The 23,035-nt window shown below is 47.8% G+C and overlaps 2 protein-coding genes across 17 annotated transcripts in view, besides 5 other annotated features; both read right to left on the bottom strand.

Moving 5' to 3' along the window:
* Positions 1–16,009, bottom strand: part of KDM5C (lysine demethylase 5C) — a 48,931-nt gene extending 32,922 nt beyond the window's left edge. For 5 of the 11 annotated variants that reach the window (NR_148672.2, NM_001353981.2, NM_001353984.2 and 2 more), the window contains exons 1-12: positions 15,542–16,009; positions 11,641–11,718; positions 9,078–9,200; positions 8,598–8,768; positions 7,945–8,079; positions 6,876–6,999; positions 6,597–6,778; positions 5,491–5,649; positions 2,589–2,708; positions 2,299–2,457; positions 1,478–1,659; positions 1,216–1,378 (exon numbers count right to left, since the gene is read on the bottom strand). Coding sequence is in view for 8 of the 11 variants with exons in the window: in NM_001353981.2 (NP_001340910.1) it covers positions 1,216–1,378; positions 1,478–1,659; positions 2,299–2,457; positions 2,589–2,708; positions 5,491–5,649; positions 6,597–6,778; positions 6,876–6,999; positions 7,945–8,079; positions 8,598–8,768; positions 9,078–9,200; positions 11,641–11,718; positions 15,542–15,691 (1,746 nt within the window). In the remaining 3 variants the exon portion in view is untranslated. The remainder of the gene's footprint in view (positions 1–1,215; positions 1,379–1,477; positions 1,660–2,298; positions 2,458–2,588; positions 2,709–5,490; positions 5,650–6,596; positions 6,779–6,875; positions 7,000–7,944; positions 8,080–8,597; positions 8,769–9,077; positions 9,201–11,640; positions 11,719–15,541) is intronic. The other 6 variants (NR_148673.2, NM_001353982.2, NM_001353979.2 and 3 more) reach the window with 3 other exon arrangements.
* Positions 15,551–15,650: an enhancer, noted in NCBI's record as "active region_29656". NCBI's record gives its function as "activates an Ori minimal core promoter by ATAC-STARR-seq in GM12878 lymphoblastoid cells {active_cell/tissue: GM12878}" and the evidence as "EXISTENCE:reporter gene assay evidence [ECO:0000049][PMID:35858748]".
* Positions 15,891–16,270: an enhancer, noted in NCBI's record as "active region_29657". NCBI's record gives its function as "activates an Ori minimal core promoter by ATAC-STARR-seq in GM12878 lymphoblastoid cells {active_cell/tissue: GM12878}" and the evidence as "EXISTENCE:reporter gene assay evidence [ECO:0000049][PMID:35858748]".
* Positions 15,891–16,403: a biological region, named in NCBI's record as "Sharpr-MPRA regulatory region 5919".
* Positions 16,109–16,403: an enhancer, noted in NCBI's record as "tiled region #5919; HepG2 Activating non-DNase unmatched - State 1:Tss, and K562 Activating DNase unmatched - State 1:Tss". NCBI's record gives its function as "activates a minimal TATA promoter and a strong SV40 promoter by Sharpr-MPRA in HepG2 and K562 cells {active_cell/tissue: HepG2 | K562}" and the evidence as "EXISTENCE:reporter gene assay evidence [ECO:0000049][PMID:27701403]".
* Positions 16,281–16,330: an enhancer, noted in NCBI's record as "active region_29658". NCBI's record gives its function as "activates an Ori minimal core promoter by ATAC-STARR-seq in GM12878 lymphoblastoid cells {active_cell/tissue: GM12878}" and the evidence as "EXISTENCE:reporter gene assay evidence [ECO:0000049][PMID:35858748]".
* The window catches only part of IQSEC2 (IQ motif and Sec7 domain ArfGEF 2), a 95,538-nt gene continuing 89,117 nt past the window's right edge, over positions 16,615–23,035 (bottom strand). For 4 of the 6 annotated variants that reach the window (NM_001441092.1, XM_006724583.5, XM_006724581.5 and 1 more), the window contains one exon: positions 18,697–22,672. In NM_001441092.1, coding sequence (NP_001428021.1) covers positions 22,617–22,672 — 56 coding nt within the window. In that variant the 3' untranslated portion in view covers positions 18,697–22,616. Of the gene's footprint in view, positions 18,668–18,696; positions 22,673–23,035 lie in introns of those variants that run through there. The other 2 variants (XM_047441928.1, XM_006724582.5) reach the window with 1 other exon arrangement.

Raw genomic sequence — 23,035 nt, forward strand, 5'->3', positions numbered from 1 at the left:
AGGAAAGTCAGACCCCATGTCTACTTGTAAAGCAGCAGAACTCAAGCCCTTGATCATCATCCTTAAATGGGGTGAGGTAGAGAGAGAAAAGGATAACTCCCTGAGTGGAGGAAGATTGCCTGAACTGTTATAGGACACCTCCTTCTGTCCAATTCCCTAGATATCCCAAGTCCTTGGTTAAATATCACTAAATTTTATAATAAAAAAATATTACTCATGGGGCATATAGTATACCAAAACAAGGAGAAGGCAAAAAGAAATGCAGGTGAGAACCACTGACCTAGTCCAAAGCCCTACTGTACAGATATCTAGGAATATCTGAAGGAGACATTAATTCAGTATTTATTGACTATCTCATACATTAGAGTAAGTGGTAATGTGTCCAAGGCCAAAGAGCGTGGAAGGGTGTAGGGAAGAGTAGCAGCCCCGGATAATACTTAAAGCAGAGATAGAGGATCTACTAATTCCTGTTCTTACAGGACTAGTGATCAGGCTGTTTTAAGATCCACACCAGAAAACTGGCTGATGCTAATCAATGCTAGAAATTCCCAGGAATATAAAGTCTCTCACAGGTAAGCCATGTTGTATACCCAGCAAAATGTTTTAAAGGGTAAGAAAGAAGTACACAGAGGATAGACCAGAACTCTGGGTTCAACTTTTGACCTGTTAAATAAAAAGACCTATCCACTGCTCTGAGAAGGGTAAGAGTATACAAAGTATGGCAGAGGCTGCTAGTTGTACCTCGATATTCATTCTTGTCTTCTGTCATAACAACATGACCTCCAGTTTTAAGTGGTACTTGACCATCCAAAATAAGAATTACATTTCCCAGTTTTCCCTGCAGCTAGATGTGGTCATATGACCAAGTTTTTACTAACAGAAGGTGAATGGAAATGATGTGTGCCTTTAAAAGATTTGTCTAGCCCTGCACTTCCCCACTTCCCTCTTCCACTGGCTGGAATGTAGATGTGATAATAAGCCACCCCTTAGCTGTTACCGTCAAACACATGGCCCAGAGGGCATACCATCATACGGTGCATCTAATCACTATTATTTTGGGTCTCTACTAGACTAGTCAAACCCGTAGCCCAATTAAGAACAGCAATGAAGAAAGGCCAGGGGCAGAATACAGATGACAACCACCGCCACCACCACCATCACAAAGGACATCACTAAATCACTCCTGCCGCTTGTCCCTGTTGCCTGGGTACTCACTGGCACACCATGGGACATGAGGGTGTTGGGATTCATGAGGGTGACAAGTTGGTGCAGGAGGTCAGGCTGGCTATCAAATAGTTCAGGTGTCAGCTTCTTCATCACTTCTTCCAAATGTTCTGCTGCAAGTGAGGGCACCCCATACCAGGTCTTCGGCTCACCCCTGCACAAGTGGAAAAGGGACACACACAGTAAATCACACCTTGGTCATGCAGGGAGCCCACACTGACTTGATTCCCTGGCTCCCCAGGGTCCCACTCACCAGTGGAGGTAGTTAATGGAGTAACTCCAGTGATCCTCAATATGCCAGCAAAAGGCTGAGAAGACCATGCCCACGTAGAGCCAGGGCACCTTCATGCCAGAGATATCTGCATTGATGTGGCACAGTACAGACTGTTCCAACACCGGCATCACATTTAGGTTCCAACCACTGGTAGCATACTCCTGCCAGGTCAGGTATTTGTAAAAAGGGCATGAGGGTTATGCTAAGGAACTGAGATCTTAAGTCATTTTCTTTAGCCTAGGGAACCTTAATTTTGAGGTCAGAGACTTTTTTGAAACATCTTAAGAAACATATAGGTTTTCTCCCTACCTCTCCACCAAAAAGCATACACACAAAATTTCAATTGTATTCACTTCAATTTCTACGAAGTTTACCGATATATCCACCTACCAAAATACCTGCAAGTTAAAAAAATCCTGCTCTGGATCAAAATGTACCCTTTCTTGGAAGCACAACTAGGCCCTCATTTTCTCCTGTGCATACAAACCCCACTCCCTGAACACTACTTATGGATGAGCCAGGATCTCATATACCTTCTCATTTAATTTTTATAACAAATTTGCAAAGTAGATATTATCCCCATTTTAAAGATAAGGAAATGGGCTCACAGAGGCGAAAGAACCCATCTCATGTTTGTACATGCCAGGTACCAGACTGTTTTCTTTCATCTCATCTAAATCTCATGGCTACATAAGACAGGCATAATTATCCTCATCTTACAGAGATACTGAGTTTTTCAGATACTAAATGATTTGCCTAAGCTCACACAGCTGACACGTAACCATGAATCATCCACTCACCTCCTCTTCGGGGGTTAGGTGCCGTTTACTGTCACTGACAGGGAAACCGCTGCCAAATTCTTTGGAATGGATGTCAGCTCCATACTCAACAGTCACATCTTCCTCAATGCTATTTACCAGCCTCCAGAACTCCTTCTCCACAAGTTCTGTGGGCACCATCTGGGGGAAGACAGGTAGCAGATGACTATGGCCCATCACACCCTGGACCCACTGATCCAGGTGAGCTGAGACCATCTGGCATCAATACCTATGATCCTAGCCCAACACTACCTCAGCCCTCCATCACCTACATGCACGGGCATGTTGAAGTAGTCAGCTTTAAAGGAGTCGGCCATCTCGCCAAAGCTCTGCAGAGTGTATTCCCGGGTAGCCTGCTCAAAGCCAAAGGCTTCTGGGGGCCGCTTACACTCCTGAAACCCAAAGGAGAACATGTCACCAAAACAGAGGCAAAGAGGTGAAGAATCCTCCCAAGTGGAACTGGAATATAAGGGGTAGGGAGGGAGAAGAGCCCTAGGTCTGCACTCAAGGCCCCTGAGGCAGGCCTTACTTTACAGCTGTACCTTTTGCTCTTACCACTTCGGCTTAGTCTTTTCATTCCCCATCATGCTTTTGCTCAGTTCCTCCCTACTGAAATGTCCTTTTCCACTTTCTTTCATTGGTTCCTCAAAACTCAATTCCAGTCTCACAACTTCCAGGGAGTCATCTCATGCTCTTTTCTTCCTTTAGGACTTTATCTAAATGGCTCTGACTTTAATATGCTATCCTGTGTTCTTCTGCCACCATTTTTCCTCTCTAGCTAAAATGTGATTCTTTTTTTTTTTTTTTTTGAGACGGAGTCTTGCTCTGTCACCCAGACTGGAGTGCAGGGTCACAATCTCAACTCACTGCAACCTCCGCCTCCCAGGTTCAAGCGATTCTCCTGCCTCAGCTTCCCGAGTAGCTGGGATTACAGGTGCCCGCCACCACGCCCAGCTAATTTTTGTATTTTTAGTAGAGATGGGGTTTCACCATGTTGGCCAGGCTGGTCTCAAACTCCTGACCCTGTGATCCGCCCGCCTTGGCCTCCCAAGTGCTGGGATTACAGGCGTGAGCCACCACGCCTGGCCTCTAAAATGTGGTTCTATGCAGGGTGCTTAGAGAAGGTTTTTTATGCCCAGACTAGAACTGTAAGGCTGGGAAAATGGCATTGAATATTCCAGTACCTTGAAAGATGGAAAACAGGGCCGGGCATGGTGGCTCATGCCTGTAAACCCAGCACTTTGGGAGGCTGAGGTGGGGTGGATCACCTGAGGTCAGGAGTTCGAGACCAGCCTGGCCACCATGGTGAAACCCTGTCTCTACTAGAACTACAAAAACTAGCCAGGTGTGGTGGCAGGCGCCTGTAATCCCAGCTACTCAGGAGGCTGAGGCAGGAGAATCGCTTGAACCCGGGAGGCAGAGGTTGCAGTGAGCAGAGATGGCATCACTGCACTCCAGCCTGGGTGACAGAGCAAGATTCTGTCGCAAGAAAAGAAAAAGAAAAAAGAAAGATGGAAAATGAAGACACTGGCTTTTACAGTATCAAACCCTCCACTAATCCTGTTCTTGAGACTGTCTCAGAAGATAGGATGTGGGTCTACCTCATTTTGTACCTATGTTCATTATTTTAGATGAGAACAATATGTACCCCAAAATCAGACACACACCATGCTTATGTTTGAAAAATAAATGTCCGTCTGGTCCACTGACTTATAACCACTTAGAGAAGAGAGTCAAGTAGAGTCGACAGTCTTGATACTGTTGGTATCCAAACTCCTCCCCAACTAGAATCTCCACCACTACCAAGGCCAATATGCACTGCCCTGATTTTTCCTCATCTGTGTATGTCTGTCTGTGTGTATGTATGCATGTGCACACCCGGTCTCTACAACCACAGTTGAGTCCCTAAGATAAGGCGAATGTCTGCTCTACAGAAATCCAGAGGGAAATGTAGAAGGTAAGTACCGAGAATTTGGGTGAAGGTAGGAAGTTCATGAAATGTACCTGCCCAACTTCCTGGCTGCTTGGCCCTTACTGCTGCTTCAGCTGCTCTCCTTACTGCCCCTATACCCATAGTAGGCATGCTCTCCTGCTATACCTCTGTTCCTGCTAGTCCTCCACCTCCCAGTCCTGAACAGCCAACCACCTCTCTAGTTAAAGCCTGTAGCACTGCCTCAATCTAAATATAACAAGAGGAAAACAACTAAATAAATATTATACCCATGATACACCATCTAAAAAAATTCCAGACCTTAATTAAACTTAGTAATATAGAGAAATGGTTATAAAGCAACAAATGAAAATATATAACAAGATCTCAAACTTGTTAAAGATAGTTACATATAAGTAACAGCAAAAAGATGAGAAAAAAATATATCAAACTATTAACAATGGTTATCACTGGGTGGTGGGAACACAAGTAATTTGCCTATTTTCCAAAATGTCTTTTTTTTTTTTGAAGACAGGGTCTCATTTTGTTGCCCAGGCTGGAGTGCAGTGGCATGATTTTGGCACACTGCAACCTCCGCCTCCTGGGCTCAAGCGATCCTCCCACCTCAGCCTCCCGAGCAGCTGGGACAACAGGCGTGCGCCACCATGCCTGGCTAATTTTTGTATCTTTTTTGGTAGAGACGGGGTTTCGCCATGTTGCCCAGGCTGGTCTCAAACTTCTGGGCTCAAACGATCCGCCCACCTCAGCCTCCCAAAGTGCTAGGATTACAGGCGTGAGCCACCGCGCCCGGCCTCAAACTTTCTAAAAAAGAAAAAAAAAAACAAAACAAAAACTCAGAAATTGAAAGAACATTTTTTTCTTAATATTCCTATCCTTCAAGTCTCATTTCTGACATTTTCCCTGATTATTACCCTTAGCTATTTTCCTCTCCTCTGAACTTCTATATCTCAGAGTTTCTAACACACAATTTAGCCTCTGTTTATATGTCACCACATATAGTCTAATTATGATGCTTACCTCTCCAGGTGGTCTGGGAGCTCTTAGAGGACAGAAGCAAAGGCTGAATCTCCTGCTCCTTTCTCCCAAAGCTCTGCCCAGCCTAATCCCACCACAGAGACCCAAAACCTAAGACTATGGCTGAGCTAAGAGGCTGCCCTCAATAAGGCCAGATGAAGGAAGGCAAGGAAGCCCTATGAGGCAGATGTGGAGTGGGGAGGCCTTACCGCCATGACACACTTTGGGCACCGCCAGACACCCTTGGGGATCTCAGGCAGAGGAGGCAGCAGGCAGAAGATGTGGTAGTTGTCATCACAGCCATCACACAGCAGGAGCTTGTCATCCTCATCCCCTCGAGAACACATCCGGCAGACATATGACTCAATCTGCCAGGGGAGAAGAGCAAAAGTTCTCCATTGGAAATCCACTGTGTTTGCTGGCTGAATGATTTACAGCCCTGTATAGGCTAGTCATGCTAGGTCTGGAGCTCAACTGCACGTATGTACCATCTCCCCAAATAAGCAGGTAGAGCTGCAAGAGCAGTCTTTTATCATCCAGTCTTGAATCCTCCCATTTTTATTCATCCAATAAACACTTACTAAACCCGTATTCAGAACTACGCTGGACTCTAGCACAAAGACAAGACATGGTATCCTTCCAAGTATATACAGTACTCTAGAGACATGTGTTCATAAAAATTAAAAATTGCCAATAGCGGTCCATAAAGGGCACTGTGGGAGCCTAGAGAAGGAAGCACTCAAAGCAGCTGGAGATAAGGAGGGATGGCCTTGAGAAAGGACTTCATTGAAAAGGTAACACCTGAAACTGGCTGAAACCTGAAGGCAAAACAAAACATGGCAACAGGGCAGAGCACAGGGGGAATCTCTTCCAGGCTGAAGAAACAACATGTGCAAAGGATAGGGATGAAAGAGCATACTGCATCTTACGGGGAAAAATGAACATACCTACAAGGAGTTCAGTGTGGCTATAGCAGAGGAGTGAGGTGGGCAGTGCTGGGGGATGAGGCTAGAGGTCAGCAGGGACTGGATCATGCATGGTAATGAGGAGCTTAGCCTTTATCCTGAAGCAATGGAGAGTGAGACTCCTTCTCTGGACCCTTCCAGCACTTCATGTTGACAGCACTTGATCACCCTTTCTTGCTCTTTGTTCCATATGAGTTGGCTTTGTTTCCCCAATTAAGTGAGCTACCTGAGGGCAGGGCCCATGGAGGCCCGCTTTTGTGGTTAATGCGAACTGGTCCAGTGCCATGCAGGGGAATGCTTATTGAAGGGACAAGAAGCAGAGCATTAAGAAGTCAGGGCTGGGTCCTTACAAACTGGGCATTGCTGTGGTTCCTCCGTAGCCTCATGGTCATCTTGGTGCAGGGTTCTGGGCTGTGACTCAGCTCCTCCTTGCTCTCCAGGAAGGTCTTAGGCGATGTTGACTCCACCTTCACATCCCCACCTAACTCCTCCTTCACCACTACTGTGGGGGGACACTCAGGCCCCTCCTTATCTGGGAGAGAGAAAAATGGCTGTAAACACAGGTCTAGGACACTTAGGGCCCTGACTTTTCTCCCCAGGTGAGGCCACCCCAGCCTGTTAGGCCTTACCTTTCTTCCGCAGAGTCTTGTCTTTGGCCATGAGGCCCAGGCCCATCATCTTGGGGCCTGCCCCATAGATCTGTAGCTTTTTCAGCTCTGGATTCTTCTCAATGTCTTCCTCTGTGGGTTCCGGCTGGAAGGAAAGAAGGAAATGAATCAAGACTGCTATCTGGGGCAGACTGTCCCATCCTAAAAGAACAGTAACTCGGACTACATATCACCTGATCTCATGCTGAGGGCTGAGGCACAGATGGGCTAAGCCAAGAACTCAGAGTTGCTTTTTGGAGACTGAGGGTAGGTGAGCTGCCCCCTCGGCCCTCTCTCAGAAAGGAATAAAAGACAGGATATCTCAGTTTTCCCAACTGTAAAATGAGAATATTACCTCCTCCCTTATAGTTATGAGGGGGGTTAGGGACAATACATATGAAAAAGCTAACAGTGTTTGGCATTACCAACAAATGGCAGTCTAATAGGATCTGCTAAATTACATGCTTCGATGAGCCCAGGGACAGTGTCCATCTTGTTCTCTATTGTATTCCCAGTGCCAAGAATGCCTGGCACATAAGCTTCTGCCTGAAGACATAGCTACAAGGAGCTGGGAACAGTGGTACACACCTGTAGTCCTAGCTACTCCAGAGGCTGAGGTGAGAGGATCACTCAAGCCTAGGAGTTCAAGATTATAGTGCATTATGATCAAGCCTGTGAATAGCCACTGTACTCCAGTCTGGGCGACATAGCAAGACCCTATGCCTCAAAACAAAACAAAACAAAAGATACAGGTATAAAGAGAAAGAAGAGTTCTACTTCTATGAGCAGAGTAAGTCCGGAAAGGAACAAAACAGGCAAGAAGAGCAGACATACAAAAGAGGTTGCACAAACAGATCAAGACCCAGCTCAGCAGCTCAGCTGAGAGGGGAGAAAAAAGCAAGAGTGAAGCCAGAGAGAGGCACACTAATGCTCAGAAGAACTCAGAGAACAAAAGAAGGGATAATGGAACAGGGAACACAGCCTTAGCCAGAAGGAAGGAGAGGACTCCCTCCACCTCAAAGCTCTAAGTTCGAAGAAGGGGAGTACTCACATCAGGCTGCAGTCTCTTGGCCCGCCGGCCATAGCTGTTGAACTTGGAAGGCTGCACAGACTGTCGTAGGGGGATGCTGTGGGGTTTGTATTCCTTGTCCTTCTCCTCATTATCAAATGGACGTGTGTTACACTGCTGGGGACAGGTAAGGGGTAAGGGTCAGGACATGGACTCCAGCCCGCAAAAGCAATAACTTCCCTCTACCCTCACCCAATGGCATCCAAAGCTGTGGTCCACTCACCTGACCCACACCAACAGCCCCTGTTCCACTGGTCTTTAGCACTGACACCAGCACACATTTTGGGAATTCTCAGTACCTTTGCTTGTATCACTCCTCCCTTCCAGTCACTTCCTCCACCAACCATCTCCCCAACTAAATCAGACGCCATCTCTTCCCACACCTTCTAGCCCAAGCTCTCCCTTCTCTGATTTCTCTATCAGTTAAAACTTTGTCACATAACAAATAAGCTAGCCGTACAGATAACTCCAGGACCTCTGACCCTGAGCAGTGTAGAAAGAGAATAAGCATCACTAGGAAAGAGCAGAGTCCAACTCCCAGGTCTCCAGTCCACTAAACCAGTTTCATTAAGAGCAAGTGTGGAAATCTGTGCTGAAGGGTAAAGCCGCACCCTGCCCCACTGTGACATCCTTACCACAAGGTTGGCTCCAGACTGGTACATTTCATAGGGATAAACAATGCGTTCGTAGTGGGAGCGTAGCAAGGAGCCAATATTTTTGCCTGGTGGATAGTTGAGGCGCTGGGCTACCCGAGCCCACCGACGGTCCTTGCAGATAGCTTCATAACCACCTTCCTCCACCACAATCTGAAAAAACAAGTAGGAAAAGACATGGATGTGCCACGTGTATTTATATGTGAGGGAGTAGGCCTGTAGAAAGGGCAAAAGGGCAATGAGGGCAACTCTAGTCCCTCACTTCACTGGGGGCTATCCCCTTATCCCAACCTCAAATTGCAGCAAAAGATTCCAAGATGTTCTGATGACAGCTTGTGTGCTACCAAGCTGTGCCCCTTCCATTGCAGCCTAAAGATCTAATATCCAAACTAAGGGGGCCCCCAGAGTATCAAGGATATTGGGGTTTGGTGGGAGGGGTGCTTGACAAAAACCTGTTCTTACTTTGCTGAGACTGTAGAGGTCCAAGATCCGCCGTTCTACATTGGGAATCTTTAAGGAGGAGCCCTGGATTTCCCAGAATTTGGCAATCTGGTCCAAGTAGTTCAGTTTCACTCTCGTCTGGGCCTGAAGAAGAAATGGCTCAAAGAGGCTGGCCACCCCCTCCCACTGACCACTATCTTTGGGTCCAGTCTTAGGGGAGAACAGAGGAATACAGCACTCCACACTTTCACTACCCAGGGTTTCTCCCAATGAACCGGATCCCAGACTCTAGGCAGTGCTTAGCCCCACCTCACTCTCATTTCTTTCGTTTTTGTTTTTTTGAGACGGTCTTGCTCTGTCGCCCAAGCTGGAATGGAGTGGTGCAATCACGGCTGACTGTAGACTTGACCTCCTGGGCTCAAGTGATCCTCCTGCCTCAGCCTCCTGAGTAGCTGGAACTATAGGCGCACGCCACCACGCCCGGCTAATTTTGTATTTTTTGTAGCAATGAAGTTTCACCATGTTACCAGGCTGGTCTCAAACTCCTAAGCTCAAGCAATCCATCCACTTCGGCCTCCCAAAGAGCTGGGATCACAGGCACAAGCCACTGCACCACTGCACCCAGCCACCTCTCTCTCATTTGTCACCTTCCAGTCAATCAGAGAAGCCCAAGGTCCCAATAGAGAGGGTCACAACTGCCAAAAGCTTTAGATATGTCCTCTAATCTCCCTGACAAGGTCATGTGAGTATTATCATCTCCTATACAGATGAGGAAACAGAGGCTCAGAGGAGTTAGGACACACAGCAAGCATCAAGATATTTTGGTGCCAAATAATTTGAGCTTTGGCTCTCCCTCTGCTACTGATTTGCTATGCTGCCTTGAGCAAATCAGTTCCACTGTGGACTCCTTTTTCCTTTTACTAATAATTATAAAAGGAAAATAACTGCACAGTCCACTTACCCCAGAGGGGTAGACTTAATGAGGGGACCAGTGAAGATCCTCTGCAGATTTCAGAATTATATCTAAGCTCTAGGCATGTTTCAGAGAAAGCAAGCTCCAAAAAGGCACATGCACCTCCTTATGTACCACCAAACTTGTTCCATGGTGGCTAAAGGGTGAAAGTGCATGCTATAACTATAGACAGAATGGCCTAGAACTAAGAGATGGTATATCAGAGTAGCACTAGCACCTGGCCAACCCAGGACCCAATGTGGGCCAAGGAGACTAGAAACAAGATATGTATGATGCTTCCCTGAAATCTCAGTAACCAAGAAGGACTCCCATAGGCCCCAAGTCTACAACCTCCTCACTCCAGTCAGAGAGCCTGGTTCTTGGAAGAACTAGATAGTCATTACCATTCACTACCTTGCCCTGATCCCATTAGGGGGAACAAAGACAGCTCTTTCCATTTCATAGTTGAGAAAAACTAAGGTCTATTTGTAGAAAGAAACAACCTACAGTTCCTTGGCTGTGAGAACTCTCAAAGGGCAAGGAAGTGCTCCTTCAACCTCAGCCCCTTAGCTTTCTGAAGTTGGCCTCATCCCTGCTCCTTCTTATTAGTCAGCACTCCCTCTACAGAAAACCTGCCCTTGTGTCATGCTAGGCAACATCTTGCCCAAGCTGTACCCCTATAAACCTGACAAGATATATTTTTCTTTTCTGAGATGGGGTCTTGCTATGTTGCCCAAACTGGTCTTGAACTCCTGAGCTCAAGCAATCCTCCCACCTTAGCTTCCCAAAATGTTAATAGTGCCGAGGCTGAGGAACTCTGGTCTAGAACACAAGTGAACTTTTAGGGTATAAGTATTCAGCTGGGCCTGGGCCTAATGCCCCACCCCTTGGACATCTATTAAGATTTGTGGGTACATAATAATGGGGGAGGGAGTGGCAACATATGCCTAACCTAGAGCTGCCATGGAAAACTCCAGGATCTTACGTGGAACTGGCTTTAGGGAACCTAATCTCACTACCCCAGGGCATTCTCAAGCAGGAAAAACCCCACCTGTCCATGAAAAGGGCCTGGACTTCCTGTACAGAACAAAAGGGAGAAGGAAAATCCTACCTGCCTGACCCCTGGCCAAGTCTCTAACCATTCCAGCCTCCACAGAGCCCAGTTCTTGTGTTGTTCTGCCCATCTACCCAAACTCCCACCTTACCAAGCACCCATGGAAGCAAAGTAGAAAGCACAGGGCTGTGGATGAATTGGATATATGAAGCCACATTCAGCTGGCCAAGGAAGAAGGGGTATCAGCCAGTTCCATAATTCCTTTTTGTTGACTCAGCTAGGGTAGGCTAGTTTACAGGGGAGTTTCAGAAGTAGCAAACCTTTGTGAGAAAGGGATATATGTCCCCAGCCTTTGGGCTATCAAATCACAAATGCTAAATGCCCCTGGCTCTTGGTTATATTTAGAGCTCTAAAGCTTCTTCCACGCCCTGGGCACACTAAAGTAATGCAATTTCACAGAAGAGAGAATAAAGGCCTAGCTAGGTAAAGTACCTCAGCCAGAGAAACTATAAGGGAAGTGGGATTAGAACTCAGGTATACATTCTCCCAACCCCACCACCAGCTCCTAGTCTTCTCACCTCTAGCTCATTCAGCCTCTGGATTCGGGGGGTAAACCTGAAGTTGTCCACTTCCACAGCAAAGGGTGGCTGCCAGTCCTGAGAGGGTAGAGAGGGGAAAGGGACTTGAGTTATCTCAGCATAGTGTAAGACCGGAAGTCACCAAAAGCAGCTCGGAATCCCACTGGCACCTTCCCAAACCTCTAGCCACTCCAGACCCTTTAACCTGCAAACATCCTACCCAACCACCCACCCCCACCTCCCCCCAGAACTCACAAGAGTCTAGCAGCCCCTCAAGTCTGCACCCAAGGCCCCATGCACATGCCCTAGGAAACTTCTCCTGAGTCCCACCCAACAGTACAGTGCCAGGATTTCAAGAAATTAAGAGATGGAGCCTCTGTTTTGTTGACCCTAAACCTTCTCCACACCCACATTAATTCCTTATCCCCTAGGCACGTGCTGTAGGACACACAGGCCTGGGAGTACTGGAAAGCACACAGGATCTAGAGTCAGAAGATATGGGTTCATGTTCTAGATCCGCTACTTACTAGCTATGAGATTTTAGCTTTCTGAACCTGTTTTCTCATCTGTGAGGTGGGAATATGAACTCTAGCCCTGGCTTCCTTGCCAGACCAATATGGAAAATTAAAACTAGTTTTCAAATGAAAATGTTATTCAAAGGAGTCACCGTTATGACCTGACATCTAAGGCTGACCACACCTCACAATACACATGCAGGGTAGCTCAGGTCCGATTGTGGCAGGACGTAAAGGTTTGGGCCTTTAATGTTTGTTCTCTCAGTTTAAAGGGCCTGAGATAGACACTGCAGGGAAGAGCAAGGAACAGGGAGCAAGTATGTGTATCACTCACCCAGTCTGGAAGGCTTCCTGTAGATCCTCTCTCATACACCTGCCTGGTACAGGAAGAGGCAGGGGAGGAAGCCCCAGGGGGTGGGGGTAAGTGCTGGGATGCCTGACTGTGGTGGCAAAGAATGGGAGGATTTGGGGAGGGAAGTCAGGGAAAGATCATGAAAGTGGGAGACACTCTGCTCTGCCAAGTTGGAGCTTGCTGTGTCCTGCCCAAAGGTCAGCTGTGAAGAACCCCCTCTCCAACACCCCTTTCCAACCTCCTATGCAGACCTCTCCTTCCCAGAGCCCTGGCTCCTGCTGGGGTGGTGAAATCAACCTAAAGTAACCTAAACCAATGTTCTCATTTTATAAATGGGGAAAGTGAGGCTCAGAGAAAAAAAGTGAAATTTCCAAAATTACATGCTGAGTTAGTGGTGGGGCCAAGAACCCACGTCTTCTGACCTCTGATCCAAGGCCTTTGCACTACACCAGACATCAATGTTCATACATACATGCATACACGTGGGCGGGGGGGAGAGACAGTGAAAGAGAAGAAAAACTGTTGACCTCTTCTGCACACACACTTTTAGAAAATGGGCTAGAGGACTCATATTTTGCATGCATACACAGACCACACTCCCCTGCCCCTACCAGCCAAAGCAGGTGGCAAACATCTGGGGCTCAGTAAGCAGGGACAAAAAAAAAAAAAAACAGGCAGGCCAAAATGGTATGGCTCAAATCCAGACAAGCTCCCCATGCCCTCTTGCCTCTCATCAGGATAGGGCACTCCCCTCAGCACAGGTAACCCAGCTAAAAAGGTGCTCAAACCCAAAACTCCGGGCACCCTTCTTTCCTGCTGAATCAAGTTCTAGACAATCAGTGCAACATCAAGCACCTGACAGGAAATGGCAGCCCTGGAATGCTACGGCAGGAGCCATGGATGCAACAGATACCTGGGAAGGCCCTGCAAACCGCCTGCCTTCATCTCCAGACTACTGTATGCCAAATGTATGTTGGTATTACTGGGATGTGGTGATAAAAAAAAGGCTGGCTACCTGATGAAGAAAGCAAGATCCTTCCAAACTCCACTGGGTCTACTCAGGGTACCCACACTCTCCTCCCACCCATCTTTCCCAAGCGTAGCAGTCACCTGCCCAGCAATTCAGGCCCCAAACCATCCTTCCTCCAGCAAACCTCCAATTCCCAGGTACCCACCCATATACAGGTTCCCACCCTGGGCCCAAGCATCACTTGAGCGAGTACTTCAAACTTCAACCAGAAGAAGGCCAGCTGCCTAAAGGTGGCCTAGGAGCTGCCATAGAGAAGGAAAAAACAAAACCAAACCAGAGAGCCAGGTATCCTGGATTAGAGAGAAGCACACTGTTGAGCAGTGAAAAGGACGGCCTCCTGCTGGCCATGCACACCTGGGACATGTCACTCTTCCCCTTCCTGATGCCCCAAAGCAGGGTAACAACACCTACACAAGGCCAGCCTGCCTAAGTCAGTCCAAGATAGAAAAAAGGAATTCAGGCCTCAACTACCCCCTACGTCAGCTATGCCTCTTTTTCCCACAGGCTTGCCCAACCACTTCAGGGAGTGCCTCCTTGAGGCTGCCCAGGACTCCTGCCTCTCCCTTCCACTAGCCTTCCTGACCCTCTACCCACTGCCACTCCCTCACCATGGACAAGGATACCTCAGAAATCTGTGGCCAGACTCCAAGAAGGAAGAAATTCGCTTACCCAACACCTCCTAGAGGATCTATCTGAAACCATCCTAGATCTGTGGCTGAGCACCAGAAAGCACCAAGTTGGATAAGGAGGCCTGTGGTGCCCTCCTCAGGTGGGAATGAAGCTTCCTATTCCATTTCAGCCAGGAGACACCCACTCAAAAACACCCTTTTCCAGCAAAGCTCAATTTCTGCCCTTGGAATCCCAACTGATCACTGAACATTATCATCACTTTTCCACCATATCAGCAAGGCAGCAGCTTGCCCTAGCCCTTGGGAGACTTCTAGCCTGAAGCCAGGCCTAGGAGGAAAGCTATGGCCTTTGTTGCTGACCCCTGGCAATCATGTTCCAAAAGGGACAGAATTCCATGGCTCCATTCTGTTCTGCGGGCCCAAGAGTGCCCTATCCTCTGGGATCTCCTACATCCTGGACCAGAGGAGAGTAGAAATCTTCTGAGAAGGACTCACACCCCACCACCAAGCTGACCGGTCCAAACATCTCCATAGGAAGTCAAGTCTGCGGGATGATGTGCAGAAAAGGCCTTGACATTGCCTTCAACGAGGAAAAGAAGAGGACAATTCCCTGAACCCACCTCAAGGGAGACAGAGCAATCCCTGTGAGACTGATTTCCTGACTGGTCCAGCAGGCCAGGATATTATCATAGATGAATTGGCCTGGCAAGGTATGAGTAAATATGAGTCAACCTACATAGGAATAAACCAATGACCACATCAAACACCCTCACAGTCACAATAATTACCACTTATCTAGTGCGTACTACATACAGACGCTACCTAGTTTAATTCAATCCTCTAAATAACCATTTCTGGGATCCATTTCACGGGCTCAGAGAGATTACTTCTACTTTCCCAAGGTCACACAGCTGCTCAGCTTCAAAGTGGAGTTTTGAACTCAAGTCTGTCTCCCTTCAGGACTGCGATCTTTCTATTAATACTATACTATGCTGCCTGCCTTAAAGGAAGTGATGACAACAGATTGGAGAAACGTCTTATTTTTACAGCCTCGACCTAGGTGGCCCGGGCTAAGAGATGTGCGGGGTGCCTCTCTGTGAACTCCCTCCGGCCCACTAGGAATCCCTGTCTTAAACCCGGAGTGATTCTGAAGGGCCGGGGTGGGGGTGGATCTCTGACTCCAGGTCACCTGTGGGCCTCACACCACGAGAGGACCCCTGGCCCAACACCCTTTTTCCGATCCGCGCCGCAACCACAACGGTCCCAGCCACCCCCTCTCCCCACCTCGAGCTGCCCTCCGCCCCAGACTTCGCCGCTGGCTATCCTACTGCTTCATTCCGTCTCGCCGCCGGCGAAAACCGGCCCCGGGGCTTACCGCGGGTGGGCGGATCTTGCAAATGCCCGATTTCTCTGCGATGGGCCTGATTTTCGCGATGTAGCCAAGAGGGTCTCGGAACTCGGCCCAGCTAGGCTCGAACACCGGGCACTCCGGTGGCGGTAGGAAATCGTCGGACCCCGGCTCCATGGTGGGCCCGAGGTCTGGGCCAGGGATCGGGAGGCTTGGACCGCCCTTAAGGACTCATGGCGCCGCCGCTGTTTGAAGCCGAGGCAATGCTCGGAGGCTAGGCCCTAAGCGGGGCAGCCGCCGCCCGCCGAGGGCCTAAGGGGGCGTGTGGCCGTCGTGCTCTGAGAGTCTCAGGCTGACTCTACTGCTACCGCCTCTTCGTCCCGCTCCGTTTCTTCCAAACTGTGTGGTTGCCTCCCCACTACCGCAGCCTTCGCCACCACAGTTACCTCCCAAACGCCGCGGCCTTCAGCGCCGCCGCCGCCATCTTGGTTTGTCAGCGTCTCCCCTCCCCACACCACAACAAACCGGATCCTTCCGCGGGGTGTCCTTCCGAGCCTCGTATACGTTGCGTCACACCAAGCCCTAGGAAACCTTCATATAGTGGAGACCGAGCTAAATAGGCTGGTATGGGTTTCTATTTGGAAGGGGTTACTCAAAAGTACCACCCCGGACTGAGAGAAAATAGTTCATTGCAACGGCGGAGGAACAAGATTGTAATTAGTTTGCCGGATCGTCTTTCCGGATGGACCGGCGGTGCACGTTTAAAGGCCAGTGATGCGCATGCGCGTTATGGAGACCGGAAGAGGAGCTGGTGTCCGTGGGTGGTGGAGTCAAACCGGCACTCCCCCGCAGACCTCAACCAGGTCGCTAGCCCCGCACCAGTGTTCTCTGTCCCTTCTCCCTGGTCTTAACGGTATGGGCCGCGGAAGGCGGCTCTGGGAGCCTGATTGCAAAGGACCCCTTATGCTGGCCCGCGGGATGGGGGGAGATGTACTAGGCTCCAGCTCTAGACACTGACACCTCTGGGGCTTTGAAATAAGGAAGGCAGGAAGCTGCTCACTCCCCGGGGATTATGGATTTTTAGGATTCTGAGTCCCAAGTAAAGGAAGGAAATCTTTATTTCATCCAAGGTTACAGGTAGAGAGATGGGGTTTCGATTCTTACCCCCCAAAAGTCACTGGGAGTCAGCATTTTAATGAACGCTTTCAACTGTTCTGTATTCACTTTTACCATGTACACATTTGTGGCATATACTCCTACAAAATAAGCCTGTGTGTATGTATACTTTAACTATTGGATGTTTAGCAACGGCGTATTTATCCAGTGTCAACTGTGTAAAACACCTGTTTGCCCATTTGTGAGCCTACAGTGCACTTACCAAACATCCGTGTACTTTTATTGTATTTATTGTGTATAGCCCCTGTGCATTTGGTACCAACTGTATGTACATTTAGTCCTATCGTGTGCATGTTCCTTGAGCAGTTTCTGAATAGGTTCATTGCAACTACAGTACTTTGAATGAGTATCATCAAACCAGTACTTTGTACATATACATCAGGCATCTACTGATTGGAGGATCATCTGTGTCATTCATCAGCTGTGGACCTACTGCATATAGTTTGAACACCTACTGTGCAAATATTTGAGTACTTGCGTACATGCTGATTAAGTAATTTTGTTTTCCCCCATCAGACTATGAATTCCTTAAGGGCAGGGACCATGTGGCCTTATACATCCTTAGCACTTGGCATGTTAAGCAGTAAATGAATGTTGAGTAAACAAAAGAAAAATGAATAAATGTCCTTAGTATATATTGACTGAAAAATATGAATACTTTTTGCAAACATTTCCTGTTTAACATATTAAACATCCACTGTAAGCTCGAGGCAGATAGGGAGTGTCATACCTTCGTGCAGTTAACTGTTCCTAATCAGATACTGTGCCAATTAGGTCCATCCTGCCTACTTCAGGACTGAGCTAAGGACATCCTGGCTGAGGGAACAGGGCACACAGGTAGGAAGGAGCTCATGCCCTGGGCTCAAAAGAGTCATGCCTTGCAGTCCCACCAGCTCTGCCATTTTCTAGTTTGTAACCTTGAACAAGTCCCAACTTCTGTAACTGAAATGGGGATAATACATACCTTGCAGAATTGTTGTGTACTTGGCACATAGCAGGCCCTCAGTATCTGGTAGCTGTTATTTTTATTTCTGAGAGTCAACAACCAATATGCCAAAACTCATTAAGAATCTCCTTTGTGTCAGACACTGTGCTAGTGCTTTTGTATTTTTTTTTTTATCACCTGAATCCTTATATTACCTTGAATGTTCAAGATCTTTATCCCCACTTGGCTCGTGTGGAGACTTGTCCCAAGTGACACAGATATTAAGTGACATCTTTCTAGTTTTCTAGGTGTCAGGGGAAACCTCAGCCCCTCTCCACCAGAAACACAGGTGGATGATCCAACTGAACAGCTGTCTGGACAGGAAGCAGGAAAACTAGGCAAAGTGATGCTAATCACAGTAATATCACTAGCCTCTCACATGGATAAGCATCTAATTGCCTACATGGCTAGTTCATACCAATTATTTCCCTTAATCTTTGCAACAGTCTTCAGAAAGATGTAGGTGAATTTACCCAGTCTGTAGATGAGGAACCAAGTTCCAGAAAGATTAAACAACTTGCCCAATGATACACAGGAAGTTGCTGACTCTGGTCAAATGCTCTTCCTGTCGTTTGCCCTCACCAGGAGTGGAGGAGGTGAGGGAAAAGGGAGCTGCTGGGGTGGGAGGTAGAGTGGTGGGGCAGGGCCCAGTCCTTGGCAATATGGGGCATGCAGGGCCTGGAGCTTGGACTGCCCATCGGGCAGCACCCCCAGGCCACCGTGGCTGTGACCGTGATGGTGGTAGTGGTGGTGGTGCGTGGAAGAAACAGATGAAAAGGAGGCAGAGGCCTGGCCAGAGAAGGGTGAGGAGAATCTAGAAGGTGGGAGAATACGGTAGATCTTAGGCCGAAGGAAGTTCAGCCTTTCCATCTAGAGGCTCAAGGAAGTACAAAGAGCATGAATCAGGAATCAGGAGGCCAGATTTTGGGTCTCAGCTCTGCACAGTCTTCCTACAGCCTTCTTTGAGGTCCTTTAGCCCAGACACACCCGTCCTAGAAGATTAAATAGAAATTATGTAGTCTTTGAAGCCAATGAGATAGAATTTATTCGTTTACAAATATTTATTAAATTTCTACTATGCACCAGCAAATTTTCTGGGCACTGGGAATATAATGGTGACCAAGACAGATGTAGTCTCTACTTTCCTGGAGCTGACATGCACCCACTGAGATCTGCCAAGTACCTCATCTTCCTGAGCCTTGATTTTCTCCTTTGTATAATGAAGCTAAATAATCCCTTCCTCACAGTGTTGTTAGGAGGATTAGAGATAATGATGACTGCCATTCATCAAGGGCCAGGTGCTATGAAGTAGGTATTGTTATCCCCATCCTACAGATGAGGAAACTGAAGCTCAGGGAAGTGTAAACTTACTCAAGTCACATGGCTAGTAAGTGGCAGGACCAGAACTCAAACCCAGGTCTGTCTGACTGCCGTACAATTCTGCCTGTAAGAGTCTCAGATGGTGCTCCCCATGTAGTAAGGCATTCAGGAAATGGGTTTGTTCCCCAAGCCATGGGTCTTGCTGGGGGACAACCGGAGTCTAGACGCTGGGGACTTAAGAATTGGGATGCATCAGGAAACTCACTCCAGGCTGGGGGCTGGCTTGGCCTCACCCATCCACCCGGGAGACAGGGTCTGACATGGAGTTGGTGCAGAGCAGTGACTGGAAGGCTCGTCTGGGCTCAAAACCACACGCACCCCATTCATGTTTTGTGGATCAACTGGGCTGACACTGACTTTGTGTCTCACTTTTTTTGGTTTGTAAAATATGATCTCTTCCAGTTCTGAAGTAGGTTTAAGCTGTTGGTTCTGATTCCTAAATAGCTCTAGAATCCATCCCCTCCTCCTTGCCATCTTCCACTCCTCCTGTGAGCCTTTTACTGTCTCTAGCCTGGACTCTTAAAAGAGCCTCCTCAAGGTATCTGTGTGAACTCATGGTTTATTAGACAGAGACAGAGAAATATCGATGTCTAGTATAGAAATATAGATGTATAGTATGTGCTTATACATATACATAACAATAAAATGATTTATCCAAAGTAATGTTAATTCAAAATGAATTATGATAGTAGTGGATTACAACTCACTGGTTAAAATAAAAATCCATGACTCCACATTGATATAAGTAAATAAAGTGAGAGAAAAGGGAAAGTAGAATTCTAAATTATATAGAAGGAATGATGGAGCTAGAAATCATCAATGGATGCTCAAACCTTTGCAAAATAAAAGAGCAAGCTCTTAAAATATTGCTGTAACACCTAGTGCCCAAATCTTGGTTTCTAAATGTCATTCTCTACTAAAAAGAACCGGGGCTCCTTGGAAGGGCTCAGAAAAAGATGGAGATGTGCCACAGGACACAGGGGCTTAGAGGGCTTCCTACTGGCCAAATCTGGGGCTGTGAACATCAAAATAAAGAATGATGTTAATGGGTTATATATAACCCATTGAGTAAAATAAACAATCATTAAGTCCATAAGGATATAAATAAATAAATGTAGAAGGGAAAGCCCTCCCTTATAGTGGAAAGCCAACTAAGACATGCCCAGGCTGGGGGCAGTGGCTCATGCCTATAGTCCCAACACTTTGGGAGGCTGAGGTGGGAGGACTGCTTGAGGCCAGGAGTTTGAAACCAGCCTGGGTAACCTAGCAAGACCTCCATCTCTACAAAAAATTTTTAAATTAGCTGGGCATGGTGGTGTGTGGCTGTGGTCCCAGCTACATGGAAGGCTGAGGTGGGAGGATCGCTTGAATCCAGGAGTTCGAAGCTGCAGTGAGCTATGATCGCACCACTGCACTGGGCAATGGATGAGACCCTGTCTCAAAAAAGAAAAAAAAAAGACATATTGAAAGAATGACGGCATTTGAAAATCACCATTTGACAGCCTCAGCCATAATAATTGTTCCAGCGAACGCTAAAACTAGTGAGTAAAATTTAAGGAGTAACAACATTTCCATTCATGTCTCCACAAGATACTCATCCACTACAACGGGGAAAGTGGTAACTTTACAGTGCAGGTACTAGATAGCCCAATTTGTTATCTGGTCTTACTTTAGCTGCTGCTGAGGCCAGCGTGACAAATCTGTTGGCAACAGAGTAACAGGGAGTGGCTGGGGAGACCCGCCTGTCTCCACGCGGTGCCATGTGCTGTGCCCACCGCTGGAGCTCCAGCTCCCATTCCTTTCTTACGGTGCCACTAACACATTGCATTCTCTCGCATCTCCAGGCCTTTTCATGCGCTGCTCCCTCCCTCCCTTCTCTATCAGGCTAAGTCCTACTCGCCCTTCAAGACTACTCCACTAAAAGGAGCGGCTCCAGAAAATGGTGCCTGACCCCACCCACACACCCCAAGTTGGGTTTTCCCCTCCTCTGTGTTCCCACATACCCAGGGCTTCCTTCTGGGCCTGCACTTATTTTATCATCTTCACATTATCCCCACCAGGCTCTGTCCACTCCTGAAACTCTTATCCTACACTGTCTGACGTGGCAGCTACTTACCCACATGTGCTTATTTATTTACATTTACATTGAATAAAATGAAAAGTGCAGTTCCTTAGTTGCACTAGCCATGTTTCGAGTGCTCAGTAGCCACATGTGGCTAGTGGTTACCGTACTGAACAGCACAGGTATGGGACATTTTGCTTATCACAGACAGACCTATTGGACAGCACTAGAGAACAAACATAAGAACTCTGAGATGCTAGGACCTTTGTCCTTTGTTTTTGTTTGTTTGTTTGTTTTTGAGACAGAGTCTTGCTCTGTCACCCAGGCTGGAGTGCAGTGGCGCGAGCTCGCTCAGCTCACTGCAACCTCCGCCTCTCGGGTTCAAGCAGTTCTGTTCTTTGTTATGTGTTGTCTGTCCCCATCTGCATCCCCAGAGGGATTGGCAGCAGCACCTTTGATGTAAGAATAGTCAGTGGGCTTGCTGTCTTTGGGTCCTCAGAGAAATGGGGAGGTGAGGAGATGAACTACCCCCTCCACAGTCTGGACAGTGCATTTCTGGAGGGGTGGAGGGAGTGAGGAGCATGGACAGCCCAGCGCTGGGACTGCAATGAGGACTGGAGGAGAAGAACGTAGGAAACAGTTGAAGGAAGCATGAGGAGCTCCCAGAGGGGCCCGGAAACTTGGTACACAGGTTGCATCAATCAATAAATCAACCAATGCAAAGATATCTAACTCTGAGACTTAGAACCATTCATTCATTCATTCATTTGATCAACAAAATTTTAGTGCCATCTGTGCTGTGCCAGGCACTATATGGGGCAATGTTCTGGATGGAGATGATTCAGACCAGTGTCACTCCCAAGCCACTTAAGGCCTGGTGGGGAAGGATCTCAGAGTATGTGATGAAGGGCACATTTTGTGAAGGATGGGTTCTTCAAGCCCATCTTGCAAGGGTTGGGAAAACCTTCATCAGGGATGTTGGGGGGAGTATTGTGGCAGGGGGGAAAGCCACAAGTAAAATGCTGAGTTTGGAAAGTACACAGAGGCATTTTTGGGGAATAGTAAGTGGATGGCCAATGTGTGGGTGAGGAATGAGAGTTAGGACCACAGAGATTGGCTGGGCCACCTTGTGGAACACCTCCCATGTCAAGATAAGGGGTTTCTGTAGGTGGCTTACTGTGTGTCTGGCATGAGGTAGGCACTTCACATGCATCTGTTAACTGTCCTGCAAGGTTGTTATCCCCATCTTACAGGTGGAAGGCCAGGCTCTGAAGGGCTAGGTGACTTGCCAAATGCAGCACAGGCAAGTCACCGAGCCAGGATTTGAGCGCTAAAAGCTGAGCTTTGGAAAAATGCAACCAGAATCAAGTTGAAGGTGGGGAAATGATCGTGCAGCTTGGTCCAGCAGGGAAGAAAACTAAAAAATGTTGATTGGACTTGATTCAGGACCCTGTGGGTCTAAGCTCTTCAAACCCTCAAGTCTGGTCCATGAGGCGGCATCAAATGCGTAGGTGGCCCCAGCTGCTGCTTTTGCTAGTTGTCTTCCCTGGGACACCTTTAAACATGCATACAAGGAAGAAAACAAAGAATTGGTCTGAGCTGCTAAGAGCGGGGCCATCCAAACCATTCCCTTTTAGAGGCCATTCCAGATTCTAGGAAGGCAGCAAAAACAGTAACTGAATGCTGCTTCTGGGGACCCTGCTGACTCTAACCAAGAACCATGGCTCAACCCCACTTCTCCTGCGCTAGGCTAAGATCCAGGACATAATCAGTGATGCTAGAAACACGTCCGTTTCGGAGGGAAGAGGTTTGGGAGGACTGGAAAGGGCCCTGGGGCTAGAAGTCAGGAAACCCCATCCTGACTTGCTGAGTGGCCTCGGGAGAGACTCTTCCCTTCTCTCAGCCTGTCCCCTTCTCT

The sequence above is a fragment of the Homo sapiens genome, chromosome X (genome assembly GCF_000001405.40).
Source record: "Homo sapiens chromosome X, GRCh38.p14 Primary Assembly".
Classification (NCBI taxonomy): domain Eukaryota; kingdom Metazoa; phylum Chordata; class Mammalia; order Primates; family Hominidae; genus Homo; species Homo sapiens.